The sequence below is a fragment of the Homo sapiens genome, chromosome 14, assembly GCF_000001405.40.
Source record: "Homo sapiens chromosome 14, GRCh38.p14 Primary Assembly".
In the NCBI taxonomy this organism is placed as follows: Eukaryota; Metazoa; Chordata; class Mammalia; order Primates; family Hominidae; genus Homo; species Homo sapiens.
The window spans coordinates 40851297-40876472 of record NC_000014.9 but is presented as its reverse complement, the minus strand read 5'-3'; the positions used below and the strand labels follow the sequence as shown (position 1 = coordinate 40876472).

Here is a 25176-nt window from a genome sequence, read left to right as displayed (position 1 = left end):
CTTTTTAAATGTTATTATTAATATGAATACATTTGCCAAATTTTGATAGTTTTTGTGTCTTCATGGCTATATTAATTGTATTGTTGTTGAAGAGCAACATATTTAGTGGTTTAATTGTTGCTAATTTGAATATAAGCTTTCTTTTTTCTTTGGTTGTTTTTTCAAAATTTTATCTGTCTTTTCTTGCACTGTAATCGCCTATAATGTAGATGATTTTCATTGTTCCATCTTTTAATTCACAGAGCTTTTATTCTACAACTTGATATGTTTTATCAGATTTGGAAATTACTCATTCATGGAAATTTCCATTATTCCTTACATCTTCTTCTAAAATTCAATTTAAATATATGAAGATTTCTCACTTTACCTTCTTTCCCTCCTATTTGCTCTTCTGAATTTTCTATCCTGTCATTTCTCTATGTTTCACTTTGACTATTTTACCCAACATTTTCTTAATTCTCTCTTCATCTCTCTCTAATATGTTCTTAAATAGGTCACCTTACTTGTTAATATTATATATTATATTTTTCAGTTTCATGGGTTCTATTTTTCCATATGTTACTTTTACTTTCCACTTCTCTACTAAAATTCTAAATCTTAGACTTTTATCTCATTGAATAAAGTAATCAAAATTATTTTTAATTGTACTTTTTATTTAATTGACGATTCACATGAAATTGTAAGAAGTAATATAGAAACATCCCTTGTACGTTTTACCCAATACCCCAGTGGTAATACCTTGCAGAAATATAGTACAATATCACAACCAGAATATTGGCACTAATTCAGACAAGATACAGGACAAGTCTATCACCACAAGAATTTCTTATGTTGCCCTTTTGTAACTACCCATCTCCTGACCAATCTGTGCCCTTATTCTTAACACCTGACAACCACTAACTTTTCTCCATCTCTATAATTTTGCCATTGTGATAGTATTACGTAAAAGGTATCATAAAGCATTAATCTGTGGATTGGGGTGTTTTTATTTTTTACTCAGTATAATTCTCGGAGATCTATCGAAGTTGTTGCTTGAATCAATAGTTATTCATTTTTATTGCTGAGTAGTATTCCATGATATGTATATAACACAGTTTGTTTAATGATTTACCCATAAATAACGTATTGGTTGCTTACTGCTTTGGGTTATTACATATAAAGCTGCTATGAACAAATAACCATTACCAAATTTGAGGGTGAACATAAGTTTTCATTTCTCTGAAAGTAGGATTATTACACTTGCTCAGTGTTTAGTAATTCCTTTTAGATTTTTAACAAACTGCCAATTTGTTTCACAAAGTATAAAGTGACTGAAGCATTTTACATTCCCTTCAGAGATGTTTGAGTACTCCAACTTCTCCACATTTCTGCCAAACTTTGGTGCTGCCACTACTTTTAATTTTAGGTATTATAATGTATATTTAGATGTGTACTTATAATTCTTTATGGTTTAATTTGCATTTCCCTAATGGACTAAGATAATAAACAGCATTCTATGTGCTTATTTTCTACCTCTTAGCACTCTACTCAGTAAAATATCTGTTCATGTATTTTGTCTATACATGAACAGTTTTATTGAGAGTTATTATGTAATTTGGGCATGAATATTTTGTCAGATAAGTGATTTGCAAATTTTTTTTCCAAGCCCGTAACTTGTCTTTTCATCTACTTAACTGAATAAGTTTTTAATTTTTATTGTGTCCAAATTATAGATTGTATTTATTTTAGGGATCACAGTTCAGTGTTAAGTCTAAGAACTCTTAGCTTACCCTAGGTTCTGACAATTTTCTCAATTTTTTTTCATAAAGTGTTTATAGTATTTATATTAGTCCATTCTCACACTTGCTATAAAGATACTACTCAAGGCTGGGTAATTTATGAAGGAAAGAGGTTTAATTGACTCACAGTTCCACATGGCTAGAGAGGCCTCTGGAAACTAATAATCATGGAACAAGGCGAAGGTGAAGCAAGGACTTTCTTTACATGGTGGCAGGAGAGAGAAGAGCAAGCAGGGGAAATGTCAGACACTTATAAAACCATCAGGTCTCATGAAAATTCATTCACTATCACGAGAACAGCATAGGGGAAACTGCAGCTGTAATCCAATCACCTCTCACCAGTTTTTTTCCCTTGACACATGGGGATTACAATTCAAGATGAGATTTGGGCAGGGACAAAGAGCCAAGCCATATCAATATTGTTTTGTATATTTGTAACATATTATTTGTAACATTATATGTATAGTAATGTGTTGTGAGCTAATTTTTGTATAGGATGTAATGTTTAGCTTAGTTTTTCTTTTTATTTTTTACCTTTGTTTTGCCTACGGGAGTCCTATTACTCTAGTAAAAGTCTATCCTTCCTTCTGTTAAAAGTAAAACCTTAGATAAATTAAATTTAGCAAAATGTGTTTGAGCAAAAATAATTCATGAATTGGGCAGCCCTCAAAATAATGAGAGGTTCAGAAAGCTTCACTCAGCAATGTGGACAGTAAGTATTTATAGAGAAAAAGGAAGGATTGTACAGAAACAGCTTGATCAGTTATAGCTGACTTATTTATACATGGTATGATTAGTCATTTGCCTTATATGGACATGGTCTTGTCAGTTGGCAGCCTGTGATTGGCTGAAGCTCAGTTACTGTGATTGACTGGGACTCAACTATTTGTTACAAGAATATACTTCTAAGTAACATTTCAGTTTACATAATAAGTTAGGTTGCAGTTTTCTAGGTAGAGATTCAAAGTATGGAGGTAGCTTTATGCCAAATTTAATTTAACATTTCATTAATTTTGTTCCTTTGTCAAATTCAGTTGACAGTTCATCTCTGAGTCCTCTATTTTATTAATCAAGGTGTTTATTCTTCCACAAATTCCAACTGATAACTGTAATTATGTGATGAACTTTAATTTCAGGTACCATGATCCTATTTTTTTATTATTATTATTATTATTATTATTTTTTGAGATGGAGTCTCGCTCTGTTGCCAGGCTGGAGTGCAGTGGTGTGATCTCAGCTCACTGCAACCTTCACTTCCCGTTTCAAGTAATTCTCCTGCCTCAGCCTCCCAAGTAGCTGGGACTACAGGTATGCACCACCCAACTCAGCTAACTTTTGTATTTTTAGTAGAGATGGCGTTTCAACATGTTGGCCAGGGTGGACTTGATCTGTTGACCTCATTATCTGCCCATCTCGGCCTCCCAAAGTGCTGGGATTAAAGGCATGAGCCACCACGCCCAGCCCCTATTTTATTATTTTTTTTAAGAATAATTTGGTTTTCTATTTCCTTTGCTGTTCCACATAAATTTTAGAATAATCACGTATCTCTCTATACATAATCTTTCAAGAGTTCTTATAAGAATTGGATTAAATCTGTTTAATTTGGTTAGAATTTAAATCTTTCTTTTCTGTCTTCCAATCTATGAACACTGTATGTTTTATTTAAACATGGTATTATTTGTTTATATCTTTTATTTTTTTCATTAGAATTTTTTAGCCTTAAGATACAAATCTATTACATGTTTTGTTACAATTACATCTAGGACAATTGTAAATGATACTGCAACATTTAAGTTTTGGTGTCCATATATTGGTTGCTAGTATGTAGAAATACAATACATTTTTGTGTGTTCATTTTGTATTCTATGACCATTATGAACTTCCTTTTTAACTCTACCAGTTTTTGTTGTTGTTGTTATTGTTCTTTTTTTTTTTTTTAGATTCCTTGGTATTTTCTTAATAAAAAGATCATTTCACCTGTAAATAAAAACAGTTTGATTTCTTCCTTTTTAATATGAATAACTTTTGTTTCATTCATTCATTTATTGTTGCTTTATTTCATTGCCTAGAACTTGTAGTACTATGCTGAATAAGAGTACTAAGAGTAGATAACCATGACATGTTCCCACTCTCAGGAAAAAAACCACTAATTTTCAAGTAGTATGCTAGCTGTAGTGTTTCAGTATATGCTTCTTAACAAACTCAGGGTCGTCTCTCTATATTTGTTTGAGGACTGGCACAAAGAAGAATGGAGAAAAGAAAATAAACAAAAATATAAGAATACACAGTCTGTAAGTGTTAAAAGTTTCCCTTCACATTCCTTTATCAGGAAGTAGAGGATATTTCTTGAAATTACCTCTGTGTCCCAGTGCCTCTTCTGGTGCAATGATTTCAAGCCAGGGAGACTATGGAAGGAGAAAAATGATAAATTCACTGAAACTTTTATGGTATTTTGAATTCTGGTGTCTTTATTCTACCTACTCTATTTACTTATTAGAGTCCTCAGCTTAATGCTCAATTTAGGACACAAAGGTAGCATATGACTACATAGCTTATCCAGAACTTGAACCCCAAGTGCATATTTTTAGTGTCATTTTATTTCATAGTAAAATCAAAAAGGACGATACTTAGCTGGAATAATTCTGGCCAAATTCATTCCTCTACATTTACATATAAAATCATAAATAGCTTCTTGAGTCCATTATTATGTAACAATTTAAGGAGCAGAGCAAAGCAATGCTATATGTGGTGTGAATATTACATATTAAAATATACACAAAAAATAGTAGGAAATATAGAAACGATGCCAATTTCAGAAATTTGATTAGCTCTGGGGAATGAGAAAGAGAAAAGAATCAGTATGTGGACTTTTGCCTGTGCCTGCAAGATTTTATTTCTAAAAGGAAAAATAAAATGAGCTAATGTTAATATAATGGAGGTTTAATTACAAAAAAGAACATATGATTATATGTAAAATTATTTTGTTATTTTATGTTTGAAATGTGTTCGAATTAAAAATTTAAATATTTTGAAAATCCACGAAAAAATTACAATCTTACTTAATACTACAAAATCACGGTTATGATCAGAATACCAGAATCTTTTGGAAATATTATCCTTACACTGTTAATTGTATTACAGTAATTTTACAGGAAGGTAATAGTGATATGGATGGACAAAAAAATTAAAACTAACTCTTTGCCAACTGTCTTAAGTAACACTTGTAATACGTATTGGTAGAATTTACAACAAAAAAAGTCATTTATAATTCAAAACTGACAACAACATATATCTCCAAATACAAATGATAAAGCATATGGGATATATATAATTGAGTTGAACATAGGGGGTTGGGGGATTAGATAAGGGGAGCAGCAAGCTAAATTAATATGTTTCTAACTTAAGTATATGTGTACTAAATAAGGGCAAATACACAATTCCCATTAGCCTTTTAACATGCTTAAGTACCTCCAATGGCTACTTAGGAATTCTTAAAATGTGATATCTTTATTCAAAGTTTCTATAAAAAACATATATTATAAAAAGAAAAGAAATTTTATAAAATACACTCCAGTGTGGTATATTTATTTATTAACCATTTTCATTTCTTTAATTGTACCCTACTCAAAAGTTACACATGCAAAACTGAAAAAGAAATGTAATGATTCCCATTATTATGACATATTTTCATCTTATTTTAGTGTGAAAAGTAATTTCTCAAGACCTGCCTTATCTGACAAGCACTGAATCATCTCTCTTTCAATCTTTCTTTTAAAGGAAGAGATAAGTAAGGGGAAGTAAAACCTAATACCAGTTTGGCCTTTCATTTATATAAATTGTTATTATTTTGCTATTATTATTATATTTCACATTTCATATTTATGTTCTAGAGTAATTTATGTAAATTAGTAGACATATACATTATTTTTTGCTTAAAATATTTGAAACAATTTCAAGGCACATTATATGAGATGTCTTCTTCATTTGCCAACACAGACATCTGGAAATAAGTCTATGCCCAGAGTTTCTTTATTCTTGTTTTAGCTCTCAACAATGTAGCTGAGATTAAAGGTTATTAGCATACTGAAAACTATGTAATTGAAGGAATATTATCTTGCCTTTACTTTGACTGTGAGAGAAGAAGAGTATAGCTGCTAGAATAAATATGAAAGTCAGAGCCTTGATAAGGTCTAGTAACCCAATCATTGGCATTCACTATGGAAAAGGATGATGTGCTTTATTTCCCTCTAGTGGTTTAGTAAATGAATAAATAGAAGAAAAAAAAAGTGAAATGGCTTCGATGTACTAGCTTAAAAGCCATTCATAATTTTGAGATGCCTGATGTAGGCTACTTCTAAAATTACACTATAAAATTTGCAAACAGAAAATAAAGATGTGCTTATAATCAAACAAGCATGATGCATCAGAAAAATAAATTGGTAGAAAATCTGCAATCAGCACCAAATTAAATTATTTTTCTGTATTCAGGAAGTCAGTGTTCATGAGGCAGAAACAAAGAGATGAAGTGATGCTTTGCATCTTTCAAAGTTAATACACAAAAGCTATAGAACAAAGATTAAGAAAAAGAGAATTTAAAGTCTTTTATTTGCTTTTGAGAAAGCTTATTTAGTTGCAGGAATTTGATATTTACTTTTGTTAATAACCATTTTTGGTAAGACCAAGTTTAAAATAATTTGTATCACCTGAACATGTGGTCCTGGGCAGAAAATCATGAAAAAAGCTATAAAATTTCTAAATGACATATAAAGTGCTAAGTAGTTGGATGAAATTTTTAATTTAATTCCCAGACCAACATCATAAGATATGTATCATTATTACTATCACCATGGCCCAGATGTTTACTGAAGGAGACAGGTAAAATGTTTCTAAGGTAACAATAATTAGAATTAGACTGAAACGCGGGTAGTCTGACTCCAGAACTTAAATTGTTAGGAAGTCAGAACATGTCCTTGGCATGATTTTAAATATTTATCATGCGTAAAGGATACTTAAATAAGCCAGAGTTATTTTTAGGACAAGGTTCTGCCAGAAAGTGTTATTGAATTAGGGTTGTATAGTACATAGACCCTTGAATAATGCAGGGGTGAAAAGCACCAACTCCCCTCACCATGTAGTCAAAACTCCACATATAATACATGATTCCCCCAAATTTTAACTACTAAAAGCTAACTGTTAACCAGACACCTTATTGATAACATAAAGTCAATTAATACATATTTTGTATTTTATATGTATTATGTACTGTATTCTTACAAAAAAGTGAGCTAGAGAAAATAAAATGTTATTAAAAAAATAAGGAAGATAAAATAAACTCATTATTCACTAGTGAAAATAGATCATCATTTGCATCACCTGTAAGATTTCATTCTCATCATCTTCATGTTGAGTAGGCTGAGGACGAAGAGGAAGGGTCTTATTGTCCTATTGTCTCAGAGGTTGCAGAGGCAAATTAAATAGAGAAAGTAAAAGGGAAGGTAGGAGAAATTGACTGAAAAAAATCTGCAGGTAAGTGGACCCTTGCAGTTCAAACCCTTATTGTTCAGTCAAGTGTATTTTATTCAACTAGTTAATTAGATGAAAAGATACACAATTGAGAGAAGAAAAACATACTTAGTGATTTTTTTATTAAAAGAGAATTATTTAATAATATATATTTTCTAAGAAATTTAATAATATCAGTGACACCATTTGTAAAATTATTTTTACATGTCAGACTATTGTTATATATTATTTGATATGTTTTTCTGAAAAAAGGTGACAAAATTACTTAAAGTGAAAAAGCAATTATTTTCAGAAGTTATTTTCAGTTATTTTCAGAATTACTTTATTCAGTTATTTTCAGAATTACTTTAAGAAGTTGAATTAAATACAAAAAAACAAAAGACATAAATATTTCAATTTTTAAATACTTCTTAGCATATGACAACTTATAAAATCAACTGGAAGAAACATATAATACAATTATTATTTGAAATTATTTTTGAGAATTTTTTTCTACCAATTGGTAAAATATGAATCAATAGTTTCAATTTTAATAGCTACATTATCTTTAGGAAAGGATTTGCTATTATTTAGAGATATATTCAATTTTTTAGAAACCATAAAACTAATGTTAGGAATAATAATTTTGTCCAGAAAGGGTGTGAAGATATAGTCATATTCTGTGGTTTAATCATATCTTTGGAGAAAGTTTCAGAAGCTATATTCCCAAAAATATTTTAAGCAATTGAAGCATCATCGAATAAGTTTGCCACATATGTAAAAAATAACATTATACAAAGTAAACCCTTTGCAAATGATGGCTAATGTAATCTGCTTTACATGATTTGTAATTTCAAAGAACCCTTAGCTAAATAGATTAAAACATTTCTGTAACTTTATAATCACTTCTCTGCACACTGGAAACCACTTATGACCCTAGAAATTCTAAAAAATGAAATTTAATAGAAGATAAACTTGTTTTGGCTGCTATCCACAAATATTTAGTTGCTTAAATGGAAACAGTAAAAGGCAAAACAAAAATAAACCAAGCAAAAATGCTTCACCTTGTCACAAGTTTTATATTTTCAATTTAGAAAGTTAATTGCATCATTAATATTGACTTGTACTGTCATCATACATTATCCTATTAGTTTTAATTGGAAGATGACAGGAATGTTGAAGAGTATTATGTTAACCTTGCTTTCAAATCATTGCTTACATTCACAACTTGCTTTTTTTTTAAAATAATATTGAGGAAAACATAGAAATGATAAGCTATTCTCAGAAAAAATTGTGTTTGTGACATAAAAATAGGCTTTACATGTGACAGGGATTGCCTTTGTATTGATATAATTTTTCACATTTTTTATTGACACACTATCTTTCTTTAAGAAGCATATATTTTTATAGAGTAGACTAGAATTCAATTGCTTCATGTGAATAGTTCAGCCAAAAGGTAACCTTAAACCAACAATTTGGCTGAATACACTTTTGTTTTCGAATTAAAAAAAAAATCCTTAGAAGAGATAGACACTACTTTCTACGTCTGCTTTTGAGAAGTGTCTGTTGATGTCCTTTGCCCAGTTTTAATGGGCTTGTTTTTTACTTGTTGATTTAAGTTCCGTAAAGATTCCGGATGTTAGATCTGTGTCACATACAGTTTGTGAATAACTTCCCCTATTCTGTAGATTGTCTGTTTGCTCTGTTGATTATTACTTTTGCTTTGCAGGAGCTGTTTAGTTTAATTAAGTCCCACTTTTCTATTTGTGTTGTCATTGCTTTTAGGGACTTGGCCAAAATTTTTTTGCCAAGGCCAGTGTCGATAAGGTATTTCCTAAGTTGTCTTTCAGGACTCTTATAGTTTGAGGTCTTAAATTTAAATCATTAGTTCACAATGATATGATCTGGCTCTGTGTCCCCAACCGAATCTCATCTTGAATTGTAATCTGAAATGTAATCCCCAAGTATTGGGAAAGGGACCTCAGGGGAGGTTATTAGATCATGGGTGTGGTTCCCTCATGTTGTTCTCATGATAGTGACTGAGTTCTCACGAGATCTGATGAAAAGGGGCTTTTCCCTGCTTTGCTTGGCAATTCTCCTTCCCACCTTCATGTGAAGAAGGATGTGTTTGCTTCTCCTTCTGCCATGATTGTCTAAGTTTCGTGAGGCTTCCCCATCCATGAAGAACTCTGAGTCAATTAAACTTATTTATATATATATATATATATATAAAACATATATATTATATATAGAGAGAATATATATTATATATGCACATATATATAAATTACACACACAGATATTAATTCATAGCAGCATGAGAATGGACTAATGCTTTGGCCTTTTGGCAGGGTAAATGTGTACTGAGGTTAGGGGAATGATAAGACCTTTTGGAAACCACTAGACACGGGCTCTGAGCTGACATTGATTCTAAGGAACCCAAAACATCATTATGGTCCTGCAGTTAAAGTAGCGGCTTATGGAGGTTAGGCAATTAATGGAGTTTGATCTCAGGTCTGATTTACATTGGCTCCAGTGTGTTCCCAGACTCATCCTGTGGTCATTTGCCACAGAATGCATAGTTGGTATAGACATACTTAGCAGCTGGCAGAATCCCCACATTGGCTCCCTAACTGGTAGGGTGAGGGCTATTATGATGGGAAAGACCAAATGGAAGCCGATAGAGCTGCCTCTACCTAGAAAAATAGTAAATAATAAACAATATTGCATCCCTGGATGGATGACAGAGATTAGTGCCACCATCAAGGGCTTGAAAGATGCAGAGGTGATGATTCCCAACATCCCTATTCAACTCTCCTCTTTGGTCTGTGCAAAAGAGAGATGAATCTTGGAGAATGACAGTGGATTATCATAAACTTAACCATGTGGTGACTCCAATTGCAGCTGCATTACCAGATGTGGTTTCATTGATTGAACAAATTAGCACATCTCCTGGTACCTGATATACAGCCACTGGTTTGACAAATGCCTTTTTCTACATTCCTGTCCATAAGGCTCACCAGAAGCAATTTGCCTTCAGCTAGTCCATTACATTGATGAACTTTCAAATTCTTGATAACATGTTGCATCACCCTAGGAAGTAGTCAGCTAAATAGCCCTAAATTTGCATATTAAATGAAACAACTCAGATTAAGATCAAGTAACAAAATTTACATCATAAGGTATGGGGAGAAAAAGTTTGGTGTGCTAGAGGGAAATTAAAACAAATTTAACTGCCAATTAAATGTAAAATTATACAATTTAAAAAGGCCTTTAAATATACACATACATATATATATATATACATAAACATACACACAAAAAGATCCTATAACTTTACTTTAGTACTATGGCCATGAGATGAATATAAATTTCCCAAGTTGAAAAAACAAAACAAAACCTGTTAGATCCAAACAGTGTTGTTGTGGTTTTGTTTTGTTTTGTTTTGTTTTGTTTCCCCTAGTAGAAAACTCACAGCAGATTTAAAGCAGGCAGAAAAGAAAATAGAGAAAGAAAACTTAAAAATTCTATAGTTTGCAGGTCAACCTTAGGTCTCTTTTTCCTTAATGTAAAATGTGCACAAAGACCATATTATTACCATTTTACATAAACTCTGGCAAGAAGTAGAGGTGCCATAAAACCTACGGAGTGCCCAAAGGGGGGCTCTTTCTCCTTGTTTTTTTCTTATTCTTAGATTATTTCTTCCCCACACTTTTTTTTTTTAAAGGAGGAACTGAGCTGTGGCCTAGGTAAATTATCAAAGTTCAGTTCCTTATGGAGATAATCCAAATTGAGATTATGTCTGAGAGAAAAAGCAATAGGGAAGACCTTTTAGAAATGCATATACAAACTCAAATTACAATCCTTAAACAACAAATTCCTAGGAGAAAAACCAGCTCAGAATAAATTGAGGACCATCAACCAAAATGGGAGGTACAGGGCTCAGGAGGACTTACCAGTTCCACCAAAGGAGAAGCTTGAACTTGGTGAGTCTTCAATTAACCCTGGCTGGTACCTTAGCTCTGATTTCGGACAACTGCTTGGGGCTCCTGAGTCTTCTCTGAGTCCCCATGTTGGGGCGCCATTTATTGCCAATGAAAAGAGTCAAGCTCTGTAAAATATTTGAAGAGATTTATTCTGAGTCAAATATGAGAGACCACGGCTCATGATACAGTCCTCAGGAGGTCCTGAGAATATATGCCCAAGGTGATCGAGGTGCAGCTTGGTTTTATACATTTTAGAGAGGCATGAGACATCAATGAAATACATTTAAAAAATACATTGGTTTGGTCCAGAAAGGCAGAACAACTCAAAGTGGGGGGCTTCCAGGATATAGGTGAATTTAAACATTTTCTGGTTGACAATTGGTTGAGTTTGTCTGAAGACCTGGGATTGATAGAAAGGGAAGGTTCAGGTTAAGATAAAGATTGTGGAGACCAAAGTTCTTTTGAAGTCTTATAATAGCTGCCCTTAGAGACAATAGATAACAAGTGTTTCCCTTTCAGATCTTAGTTAATCTCTTTAGGATTGGGAAGGTCTGGAAGCAAATATCTAGCTATATTAACAGAGGTTATTTACAGATGCAAATTTTCCCCCACAAAGAATATCTTTGCAGGCCCATTTCAAAATATGGCAAAGAAACATGTTTTGGGGTAAAATATTTTTATTTTCTTCCTTGTCTCATAATGTTATGCCAGAGTCAGGTTGGAAAATAAATCACACTATATAGGGTTAAATAAAACCCATCTAATGAGAATCTATGATTTGTATGGCATGACTCCCCAGACACCTTAGATAAGAATTTGAGCTAGATAAAAATCAGAGTTTAGTCCTCACTATCATAAAAACACAAGTGAGTACACAGCCTACAAACCACATAAAGAAAATTACACAATCAAAACTAAAAGAAACAATCTAAACACCATGAAATTAACAAAACATCACATATCAATATTAACCTAGAATGTAAATGGTCTAAATGCTTCACTTAAAAGACAAAGAGTGGCATATTGGATTTATACAAAAAGATCCAACCATCTGTCTTCAAGAGAGCCATCTCACATGTAATTACATCCATAGGCCCAAAGATAAGGGATAGAGAAAGTTCTGTCATACAGAATGGGGAATGCTATTCTTGTATCAGATAAAAGAGACCTTAAATTAACAACAATAGAAAAGGACAAGGAAATGAATTACTTAATGGAAAAGGATTCAATTCAACAAGTCAATTTAAGTATACTTAATAAATAGCACCAGTGAAGCACCTAGATTTGTAAATAAATTACTACTATACCTAAGAAAGACTTAGAAAGGCATACAATAATAGTGGAAGACTTCGACACCTCTTTAACAGCATTAGCCAGATCACTGAGGCAAAAAACTAACAAAGAAATGCTAAATGTAAACTCTACTCGTGGACAGTTGGATCTACCAGACATATACAGAATACTTCACCCAACAACTACAGAGTATGTATTCTTCTCATATCCACACAGAACATGCTCAGTCATAAAGCAAGTCTCAACAAATTAGAAAAACATGAAATCACACCAAGTATTTTCTCAGACCACAATGGAATAAAAATAGAACCCAATACCAAGAGAAGCTCAAAATCACACAAATACATGAAAACAAAGCAGCTTGCTCCTGAAGAAAATTAAGGCAGAAATAAAAAAAGTTCTTTGAGACAAATGAAAATGATGACACAATGTATCAAAACCTCTGGGATGCAGCAAAAGCAGTGTTAAGAGAAAAGTTTATAGCACTAAGTGCCTACATCAAGTAGAAAGCTCTCTGATAGCAACCTAACATTGCACCTAAAGTAACTAGCAAAATGAAAACAAATGAAACCAAAACCTAGCAGAAGAAAGTCAATATTTAAAATTAGAGCAGAACTAAACACAATTGAGACCAAGAAACAACAGATAGGTGATCAAAACCAAAAGTTACTTTTCAAAAAGACACACAAAATCCAGAGACCCATCACTAAATAAATACAAAGAAAAAAAGAGACAAGTTCCAAACAAGCACAATTAGAAATGACAAAGGTGACATTACAACTGACTCTACAGAAATATAAAAAATCATTAGAGACTACAAGGGATATCTCTATGTGCACGAAGTAGAAAATCTAAAGAAAATGGATAAATTCTGAAAAACAAACAACCTCCGAAGATTGGACAAGGAAGAAATTAAACCTCTGAATACATTAATAATGAGTTACAATATTAAATCAGCAATAAAAATTATACTAACCAAAAAAAGCCTTGGACCAGATAGACTCAGAGCCAAATTCTACCAGACACAAAAAATGGAGCTAATACCAATCTTACTGAAACTATTCCCAAATATCAAGGAGGAGCAATTTCTCCCTAACTCATTCTTTTTTTTTTTTTTTGAGATGGAGTCTCGCTCTGTCACCCAGGCTGGAGTGCAGTGGCACGATCTCCGCTCACTGCAAGCTCCGCTTCCTGGGTTCATGCCATTCTCCTGCCTCAGCCTGCTGAGTACCTGGGACTACAGGTGCCCACCACCACGCCCGGCTAATTTTTTGTATTTTTTAGTAAAGATGGGGTTTCACTGTGTTAGCCAGGATGGTCTCGATCTCCTGACCTTGTGATCCACCTGCCTCAGCCTCCCAAAGTGCTGGGATTACAGGTGTGCTCATTCTATGAAATAAGTATTATCTTCATACCAAATTCCTGTAAAGACAACAACAATAAAACCAAAGACCTATATCTCTGCTGAACACAGATTCTGAAATTCTCAACAAAATACTGGCAAACCAAATTCAGCAGCACATCAAAAAAATAATTGACCACAATCAAGTGGGCTTTATTCCTTGGATGCAAAGATGGTTTAACTTATACAAAAAAAAAAAAAAAAAAAAAAAAAGGAATGCATTTTCCCCACATTAACAGAATTAAAAACAAAAACCATATAATTATCTCAATAAATGCAGGAAAAGAATTTGATAAAATCCAGCATCCATTCATAATAAAAATCCACAAAAACTAAGCATTGACGGAACATACTTCAAAATTATGAGAGCCATTTATGACAAACCCTCAGCCAATATCATACCAAGTGGACAAAAATTGGGATCATTCTTCCTAAGAACTGGAACAAGACAAGGATGGCACTCTCATCATTTCTATTCAACATAGAAATGGAAATCCTAGCCAAAAGCAATCAGGCAAAAGAAACAAGTAAAATGCACTCAAATATGAAAAGAGGAAGTCAAATTATCTCTCTTCATTGAAAACATAATTATTTACCTAGGAAACCTAAGGTTCTGCCAAAAGTCTCCTAGACCTGATAAACGATTTGAGTAAAGTTTCAGGATACCAAACCAATGTACAAAACTCAATAGCATTTCTATACATAAATAATGTTCAAGCTAAGAACCAAATTAAAAATACAATCTTATATACAAAAAAACACAAAAATAATAAAATACCTAGGAATACATCTAACCATGGAAGTAAAAGATCTCTACAAGTAATACTACAAAATATTGCTGAAAAAAATCATAGATGACACAAATGAAAAAAATTCCCTGCTTATGGATTAGAAGAATCAATGTTCATACTGCCTCAAAAGTAATCCAAAGATTCCATGCAATTCCTCTCAAATTATCAAAGTTATTCTTCACACAATTAGAGAAAATCTGTTCTAAAATTTATATGAAACCAAAAAATAGTCAAAATAGCCAAAGCTATCTTAAGCAAAACGACCAAAGCTAGAGGCGTTGCATTACATGACTTTAAACTACACTATAAGGCGACGTTACCCAAAATAGCATGATACTAATACAAAAATAAACATATAGAACAATTCAACATAATAGAGAAGCCAGAAGTAAAGCCACATACCTGCAACCCACTGATTTTTGACCAAGTTGACAAAAATGAACAGTGGGGAAAGGACATCCTATTCAGTAAATGGTGCTGGGAGACTGGCTAACCATGTGCAGAATTGGACTTCTACCTATCACCATGTAAATAGTAACTCAAGATGCATCAAACTTAAATGCAAAACCTCAAACTATAAATATTCCAGAAGAAAATGTAGGAAATACTCTTCTGGATGTTGGCCTAGGCAAGGAATTTTTGACTATGTCCTTAAAAGGAAACACAACAAAAACAAAAACTGAAAATTGGGATCTAATTAAACTTAAGAGCTTCTGAACAGCAAAAGAAACTATCAGCAGGCTTGACAGAATGAGAGAATGAGAGAAACCTACAGAATGAGAGAAAGTATTAACAAACCATTCATCTGACAAAGGCCTAATATCCAGAAACTATGAGGAACTTTAACAAATCAACAAGAAAGATTAAAATAACCCCATTTTAAAGTGGGGAAAGGTCATGAATTGACACTTCTCAAACAAACATGAAAAACACTCAGCATCGCTAATCATCAGAGAAATACAAATCAAAACCACAAGGAGATACCATCTCACACCAGTCAGAATGACTGTTATTAAAAAGCCAAAAAGGCCAGGCATGGTGGCTTACACCTGTAATCCCAGCACTTTGGGAGGCTAAGGCAGGTGGATATTGTGAGGTCAGGAGTACAAGACCAGCCTGGCCAACATGGTGAAACCCCATTTCTCCTAAAAATACAAAAAGTTAGCCAGAGAGTAGTGGCATGCAACTGTAATCTCAGCTATTCAGGAGGCTGAGGCAGGAGAATCACTTGAGCCTGGGAGGCAGAGGTTGCAGTGAGCTAAGATCACACAACTGCATGACAGTCTGGGTGACAGAATGAGACCCTGTCTCAAAAAAAAAAAAAAAAAAAAGGAAAAGTCAAAAAATAACAGATGATGTCAAGATTGTTAAGAAAAAGGAATGCCTGCCCTTTGTTGATGGCATTGTAAATTAGTTCAGTCTCTCTGAAAAGCTGTAAGAAGATTACTCAAAGAACTAAAAATACAATTATCATTTGACCCAGAAATCCCATTACTGGATATATACCCAAAGGAAAATAAATTGTTCTACAAAAAAGACATCTGTACTCACATGTTTATGACAGCACTATTCACAATAGCAAAGGCATGAAATCAATGTAGATCCCTATTAATGGTGGATTAGATGAAGAAAATGTTTTACATTTAAACCATGGATTATTATGCAGTCATAAAAAAGAAAGAATATTCTTTGCAGCAACATGGATGCAGCTGGAGGTAGTTATTCTAAGTAAATTAATGCTGAAACAGAAAACCAAATATATATTCCCATTTACAAATGAGAAGAAAACGTTGGACACACTCAGATAAAAAGTGGGAATAATAGACCATGGGGATTTCAAAAGGGGTAGGCAGGGAGGAGGCCAAGGATTGAAAAACTACCATTGAATGCTATTTTTACAGGATATCAGGGGTGTGGATTTTTCTGGCTGGAAACCTCTGTGGCCATGGTGCATTTGCCTGAGTTCTTCTCTTGCACCCAGGAAGAATGAAGTACAAAGACAAATGAAGGGTGAAGAATATGAAGAGTTTTATTTAGTGTTAGAACAGCTCAGAGGATATCCACAGTGGGTAGCTCCACTCTGTTGGCAGGTCATCCCATGGAGTGTTCAGCTGTCAGCAGAGAGGAGGCCCTAGAGTGGAAGGCTCCTCTCCACAGGCAAGTCATTCAGACATCTCTGCAGGTCTCTGAAGCTCTAAGCAAAAAAGGTAGCTCCTCTCTGCCGGTTGCTGATGTCTCCAGCTATCAGCAGAGAGGGTACTCCTCTCTGCAGCTGGTTGTCCCATCCCATCATCACTCTGCCCTCTTTGTCCTCTGGCCATCCTCTGCCCTTCTCTGACTGAGTCTAGGGCTTTTATGGACCTCAGAGTGGAGGAAGTCTGTGCTGACTGGTCCATGGGTGGTCATGGGCACAGGACTCTGTTCACCTCCCACTGCCATTCATTGCCTCAGGGCTTGGCTCCAACCCCTCTCCGAGATCAGTACACCTAACTGCTGTTAGCATAGGGACAATGACTGCTCTTAACAGCTTCTTGCTAACAAAGGGTGTTGTTTCAGGAAAATGACAGTTAGGTCTCTCTCTCAGAGGCCTGTCTCAGGATCCCCAGTACAAAGGAGCCATCATCTGAAGCATGATTTGCATGACTATTTGGAGTTTGATGGCCCATCCCTGTTTCTTCTGAGCTGCAGTCAGAGATCACTGGTTGGTTCACCCTAGATTTGTCAAAAGCTAAAAATAGCTCAAAAGAGAAATGTTATCAATTCTAAAAAACAAAACATAAAGATCAGCATTGTTCCATGCAAAAAGCAAAAAGTCAAAAAAGATTAGTCTTTCAATAGTTCAGTTCACACAGTCACCTCCTGTTCACAATCTTCAAAATTATCAGAAACTTGCACTTTAGGGTTATAATCTATCCTTTGAAGGGGCTCAAAACAAGACAACATTTGTCTGTGGATGTCAAAATGTCCTAGGGTAGACACAGTCAAAAACACAATTGACAAAGAAATTTGGTCACCTCTGTGACATGCAAAAACCTAACACAATAACCTTAATTATGATTGATAACACAAACTCAGACAACAGAACTCTAGAAATCCCTGTCAATTTTGGAACACACATTAACATTTTTCTCTAAAATATAACCTGAAGATCAAACACTACCTTATTTCAACAATCTTGTGTAGCTAAACATGTCAAATAATCCTGTTTACTTCTCCTTTGAACACTCAAGGGACCCTGTGTAGCATTCAAATTTAGGGGTTAGGAAAGACAATTTTGACTGAAAAGGCTCAAAACACTTAACAGAATTTCATGTTATCATAAGATATTCATTTAGCCAATGATGGCTCAAATTTATTTTAAAAAGCAAAAACCTTTACTCATTAAGAGGGAAGACCTAGTTTTCCAAATAACCTGTCTCTTGTCCTCCACTTCATTTTTTGGTAGTTTGCACACAAAAATCTTTCACTGCACAAAAGTTTTGTTCAAGAGGGAGCCAAATTTCACCCTTACATTAGTCTATTAATGCCACCCCCATTTTTTTAAGTAATACCTTACAGAGAAATCCTCAATAAATGCTTGTTGTGCTTTTATTCCAATGTTCAGTTTGTGGAAAACCAAACATGATTTTTTTTAAATTTAGTCAATATGTTCACACACAGGATTCCTTTTACAAAATTAATTTTTTATAAACCTTCCATAACTTGTTTTAGCCTTTAGGTTTATCTTATCTGATTTAAAACAATCATTAAACCCTGCGAACTAGGCAGAAATTTACATTCTCAGGCCTTCTTATATTATTTTACTAAAGACACATTTTACTTTCCTTACACATCTTGTATGTAAGTCTATTTTCAGTAGTCTCTATTACATGTTATAATGGTAGACAAATATAAATTCAGTCAAAAACATATGCTGACAATTACTTCTTAATTTATGAGTGTCCCTTTACTTATAAGCCAATTTGATAGACACAACATATAACAATAAGTGTACAAATAAACACATCTGGACATGTATACACACACACACAAAGATTCAATAGCTTGGAATCCTAAGCCATGAGATAGCAATACAAGCTCACCGGTTTTACTTTGTTTGCCCCAGTAGATAATCCAATAAAGATTGTGAACCAAAATTTTGGGTTCACAGATTGCTTTAAATCATGGCAATTTGATTTAAGGCCCCACCTTCCCAGACTCCAAAGAACAGTAGGGCCAAACAGCACCAAAGAGAACATCACATGTTAACCAGGCTCCGTGTTTAGAACAGCAGCATAAAAGCCTGGATACATTCAATGCCATTCCACTTTGCCATTCAACAGTAAACTTCAGATTCCATACAATATTGGGGCCATACAGTATTGCAACTGTGAAATTTCTAAGGAGGGTTTAGTACTAGACCCCAGAACCTCTGCCACAGAATCCCCTTTAGAGAGGTTGAGGTCCATAGGATCCCCCAGCACATCACCCTTTGGTATTCAATCTTGGACTGTCAGACATCTCTGACCTTAGGTGGACACCAGTGCCACTTCATGTTTTCCCTTCAGAGGCAATGGCCTACTATGAGCTTTATAAGTCCATGCTTTCCCATGCTTCCTGTTCCACTAGAGTGATAACCATGAATTAAAAGGCATTACAGCTTTATTTTTCTTTCAAAACATTTGATCTAAGCACTTATTTTCTTTAAGCCAATCAGAGCTCTTGTATAGAAACATGACACACATGACACATATATATCTACACAGAGAAACAGACAGAGGTCCAGATCTACTTAATTTCAGGAGGAGGTCCATCCTCCTTCCCTTGATCCCTGGGGCTCCTAGATGGTGATGGCAGTCTGAATCACCAAAGCCAGGGAAAGGAAACACAGGACCCATCAGTCCTGCTGCACCATTAGGGAGACCGGCCCTAGACCCACCAACTTGTGTCTTGGGAACAGTCCGCCCTCCAATGGCCCACGTTTGCAGCAGTCAACAGGTGCATCTTAGGAACTCTGGGGTTTGTGAGCCTGTAAGGTGACTATTAGAGCCTTTTTCTTTAAGTCAATCAGTTAGAGCTCCTTTTCCTCTCTTGGGCTTTCTGATCCTTATTGTAAAAGACTATGGTGGCCACTTTCAGGAGGTCCTTCAAAGCACTATCTGGTCCTATGACCTGTTTCTGCCACTTCAGCTTCCTCCTAATATCAGGGGCTGCCTGAGTAATAAACTCATCTCCTAGGACCAGCTGTCACTCTATTGAATCAGGAGATAGAGGGGTGTGTTTTACCAAGACTCCTCTTAGCTGTTTCAGGAAGGCAGTGGGACTCCCATCCAGTCCATGATCCACCATGGATAGCCCAGTGCAATTGAGAGGTCCAGTCCCAGTCCTTCACAAGCCCTCCAATATGCACACCTGAAAGAGTTACTTCTTTCATTGTCCCTTTTCATTATTGGGGCCCCTTTTAGAGTCCTCCAATAGTACTGCCTATTTTTCCAATTGGATAAGGCTCCTCCCCTTCCCTGGCCCTATACAAGATGTAAAGCTCTGCCACTTGCCAGGAGTGGCCTGTTTTTCAGTGTTGGTCAGGGTTTGATACAAAGAGTTCAAACACTTGGGTTGAGCTCTGGAAAGCCTTTTTATATTCATCAGGGCCATCTGAAAACCAGTCAAAATACCCCTTAATTTCACTTAAGTCCTGAAGAGAAAATGGGACCTGGACCTTAATGGGGCCGTGTTCACCAGGCACCTGTTATAGGGGCAGCTGAGAGGGGAACCTGTCTAAAACCAGGATTCTTAAGGTGGGGTAAGCTGAGAAATAACCTGGATAGGAAGGACCAGAATGGGTTGATTCCCTGCTGGATGTAACTTTGGAGTTTTCTTCCTCAGTTCCCTGGGATTGCCCCTTGAAGACTCTCCTGAGGTGGGTACAACGACATTGAATCAATCAGACAATGTTGGCGAAGGTCTGGGTTACCCTGCAAGGCAAAGAAGGCCTGCTCATAAGGGACCTTGGACCATTTTCCTTCGTGTTTACAGAAAAGCTTCCTTCCTGAGGTAGTGCTTTTTTGTGCCTCAAGGTGCTTCGCACTAAACTGGAAATGACAAGAACATTTTCTTACAAATTTACTGCAGATACCAAAGCACACTTTGCTTCATCTGTGCTACTCTTGACCTTCCATTTCATATTTTCGATGACTAAGCCAAATGCTCATTCTACACCGTAATATCTCTGGTTTGCAACAACACCCTTAACATTTAACATTGTATGTAAAAGAGATAGGAACCATGACAGTTGTGAAGGAAACAACGACAGGAAAGACTAAAGATCCTAGTGCCAACACCCAACAGGCAGTTGGGGACTGAAGTTAGTCCAGCGGCCTTTGCATAACAAAAAGGTGTGGCCTCAGCCAGATACCTTTGGTTGCCCCAAGACCTCCTTCTGGTCCCAAGTGACAGCTTCCCTTTGTGAAGGGAAACTGGGTTAGAACAAAGCCAATATTTCCAACACCTGAGGGTGATGGAGGATTGACAGTGTTCTCCCCAGCAAGCCTGTCCTGTGTCTTAAGTCCGGCCACAGTAGTCGCTTTTACTGGCTGACAGAGGCCCAGTATTTTTCCTTCATCTTGACTATTGTGGAGTTCAGGGACTCCTAAAGAAAAGACAGAAAGCAGAGCTGCTTTTACTCACCCTTCCGCAGATCCCAGATGAGTCCCCAAAATGTTATGGGATCTCAGGGGTGTCAATTTTTCTATCTGGAAACCTCCGTGGCTGCAGTGCCTGTGCTGAGTTCTCATCCTGCATCCAGGAAAAATGAGGTACAAAGACAGACAAATGAAGAGTGAAAAATATGAAGAGTTTTATTTAGTGTTAGAACAGCTCAGAGACCCACAGTGGGTAGCTACTCTCTGGGCAGGTCCTCCTATGGAGTGTTCAACTCTCAGCAGAGAAGAGGCCTTGGAGAGGGTGACTCCTCTCTGCAGGCAAGTCATTTGGACATCTCTGCAGGTCTCTGAAGCTCTCAGCAGAGGTAGCTCCTCTTTGTCCTGTGGCCATCCTCTGCCCTGCTCTTGCTGAGCCCAGGGCTTTTATCGACCTCAGATGGGGGAAAGTGTGTACCCATTGGTCCATGGGCAGCCATGCGCGGGCGTGGAAGAGGCACCATGAGTTCTCACTCCAGTCCACAGGACTTGCAGCCCAGCCCCCAGCCTTCAGGCCCTCTCTGGCCTGAGGGTGGGGGCTTATTGGGAACCCTGCCCCCTTCTGCATAGGACTCTGTTCACCTCCTGCTTACATTCATGGGCCCAGGGCTTGGCCCCAACCCCACTAAGAGATAGGAGTGGGTGCCAGGAGCAGAGCAGGCAGTTGGAGCAGACACCCCTGGGCCTACACAGATGAGGGGGTCCTTCATGGGGCATCCAAGCATGAAGGCGGCAGAGATGCGCAGGTCCTGCACCTGGGAGGGCACCCACAGCTGCACCTAGGAGCTCCGATCCCACCAACTCAGACGACGCAGGGCTCCCGCTTGTCCCCAGCTTCTTCCTGCTTTGTGGAGTGGGAGGCCCAGGTCTCACTGCAGCTGCACCCAGAGGGCAGATCCTCCCTGTTCCTGGATCCCCTAAAAGCACAAGGAGGCTCGGACCCACAACCACAGTTTGGGTGGCTATAGACCCCCAAGGAAGGTGGGGTTCCCACCAGCTCCAAGTAGTGTGCAGCCCCAGTCACACCTCCTTGCTGCAGCCACTGCCATCATTATGTTCATTATTTGGATGATAGGTTCAATTGAAGCCCAAACCTCAGCATCACATAATGTAACAAACCTGCACATGTACCCTCTGAATCTAAATAATAAATAAATACATAATGAAAAGTACTTAGAAAAAAACAAAATAATTTGGAATTATACTATATATCCAAAATTTCAATAAATAAAAATGTTTTTATATTGGTATTTATAAGAGGCCAAAACAAAATTTATCAACATGCAGAAAGTATCAAACACAAAGACAGTTCATGATATTATGAGAAAGATAGTGTCTTAGAATAATAGTGATATATAAATCCTTGGAGTAAAGACAAAGAGGGCATCCCTTCAAACTTCAACCCTCCATAAAATCATTGTATCAATAACATACTGTCATCTGACAGAAATAACTGCAACCTTCTTTGTAATTATTAATATTAATGATATCTTTCAAGTGTCTACAAATTTTCTTTCAAAATCTCAGCATATTTATTTCTTATTATCAAATTTTATTATAAAGGTTTTGGTTTCAACATGCATTTTTGTACTTGTTTGGATAGGATACAAATACATTTTCCTTTGCTTAGAATTTTAAATCTATTTTATTCCTATACAGCCATAGCTCAGTGAGAAACATAAATCACGGTGCCATATTTTATTGGTATTGATAATTTATCAAAAACTACTAATTTTATGATAAAAATCAACCTTTGATTATTGACTATTTGAGAATTTTGAGTATTTAAAATTTTTTACCATGGTAAAATATATGTAACATAAAATTTAGCATTTAACCATTCAATTCTCTGGCGTTACTTACATTCATAAAGTTGTGCACCTCATATCTATCTCCTAAAATTTATTAAAAGAAAATTTAAAATTAGCTGTAACAATAATCTTTATAAAACTCTTACAAAATTCAACCAATGAGCTTTGACAAAGAAGCCAAAAAAGTATTGTCATTGTCTTCTTTTGCTATCAATAATGACATAAATTGGTAATAATTTACAGCATTTGTTTATAAATTTGAGACACATTTTAAACTGCATAATTTTTATAGCATCACAAATATTGTATTATGCATTATACAGTAGAACACATCAATAAAGAAATTACTTTTCTCTCACTTTAAAACTACAAATAGCCCTGATTTTTGACCTAATGCCACTAACTATCATTATATGGAACTATCCATAATTATATGGAAGAGTATGTGGTGATACTTCAAAGACCTAAACACAGAAATACCATTTGACCCAGCAATCCCATTACTGGGTATTTACCCAAAGGAATGTAAATCATTATGAAGACACATGTATGCCTATGTTCATTGCAACACTGTTCACAGTAGCAAAGACATGGAATCAACCTAAATGCCCATAAGTAATAGACTGGGCAAAGAAAATGTGGTACATATATACCATGGAATACCATCCAACCATAAAAAATGAGGTCATGTCTTTTCCAGGGACATGGATAGAGCTAGAAGCCTTTATACTTAGCAAACTAACACAGGAACAGAAAACCAAATACCACACGTTCTCACTTATAAGTGGCAGCTAAATCATGCGAACACATAGATGCATAGAGGGGAACAACACACACTAGGGCCTATTGGAAAGTGGAGAGTGGGAGGAGGGAGAGGATCAGGAAAAATAACTAGTGAATACTAAACTTAACACCTGGGTCATGAAATAATCTGTACAACAAACCCTCATAAAACAAGTTTATCTGTGTAACAAAGCTGCACATGTACCCCTGAACCTAAAGTTAGAAAAAATAAATAAATAAAAGCTAATGTCCTCGTATCTCACTAAAATTCTTCATTGATAGATATAAATAATTCCAAAATATTCATGACATGAATTTGATTATTTACATGGTTGATTAAAGTAATACAAACAAAGATACACAAAGTATTATTGGAGAACATAATATAAAACTCATCTAAAGCTACAGAAAACAGTAATCTTTGGATTTTGGCTTAGTTTGTACTGAATATTTTTAGAAAGGTTTCTGTTCTACAGACAAATGTTTCATGCTCAAATTAAAATTGTTTACATTTTGTAAAATATTTTTATTACTCTTATTCATAATTTTTTAAACAAAGTTTTCATAATTAATCTTACTGTATCTTCATCTAAAACTGTTTTTCTTTTTCTCTTCAGGAATCCATTATTATATTCAGGAATCCATTATTACAATCCATGATTAGATTGTAGCTAATCTAATTTACAATTTTAGATTCTTTTAAAATTATTCAAACATTTTAATTAACCATTTATTTCCAATTTTTGCTCACTAATTTTATCAATGCTTGTTTGACTTTGGGAGGAAATTTCTTATGAAATGCATTAAATATGTCCTAATGTTCTACACATAATTATCTCAAAACATTTTACACAACAGCCTTTGTGTTGGGTACTGTCACAGCACATTGCTATAGCCTTTTTATAAAGTTTTTGATGTATCTTTTTTCAGGTTTTATTTTACTTGCAAGTTCTAGTCTTTATACTAGCTTCTGTATTTATGCTCAGTTAAACATTGGCAGTATGTCTTTGTTTTAATTTATGAATATGTTCACACATAAATTTTAATTAAGTATAAAAGTAATTGTTACAATGTAATTAATTATGATTATTTCAATTTAATTATCATTGATAATTTTCATAGGTATCAGTGTAATTCATGCCATCTGAATAAA

The 25176-nt window shown here is 35.2% G+C and overlaps 1 long non-coding RNA gene across 4 annotated transcripts in view, besides 1 other annotated feature; it reads right to left on the bottom strand.

Annotated features, from left to right (window-relative positions):
• The window catches only part of LOC105370467 (uncharacterized), a 186853-nt gene that overhangs the window by 9605 nt on the left and 152072 nt on the right, over nt 1-25176 (bottom strand). For 2 of the 4 annotated variants that reach the window (XR_007064132.1, XR_007064133.1), the window contains 3 exons: nt 21419-21526; nt 11237-11391; nt 4135-4183 (listed from right to left, as the gene is read on the bottom strand). This is a non-coding gene — a long non-coding RNA (uncharacterized LOC105370467). The remainder of the gene's footprint in view (nt 1-4134; nt 4184-11236; nt 11392-21418; nt 21527-25176) is intronic. The other 2 variants (XR_007064130.1, XR_007064131.1) reach the window with 1 other exon arrangement.
• Nucleotides 16884-17654: an enhancer, noted in NCBI's record as "NANOG hESC enhancer chr14:41328024-41328794 (GRCh37/hg19 assembly coordinates)". NCBI's record gives its function as "activates a minimal SCP1, AML or CMV promoter by ChIP-STARR-seq in naive H9 embryonic stem cells {active_cell/tissue: H9 hESC(naive)}" and the evidence as "EXISTENCE:reporter gene assay evidence [ECO:0000049][PMID:30033119]".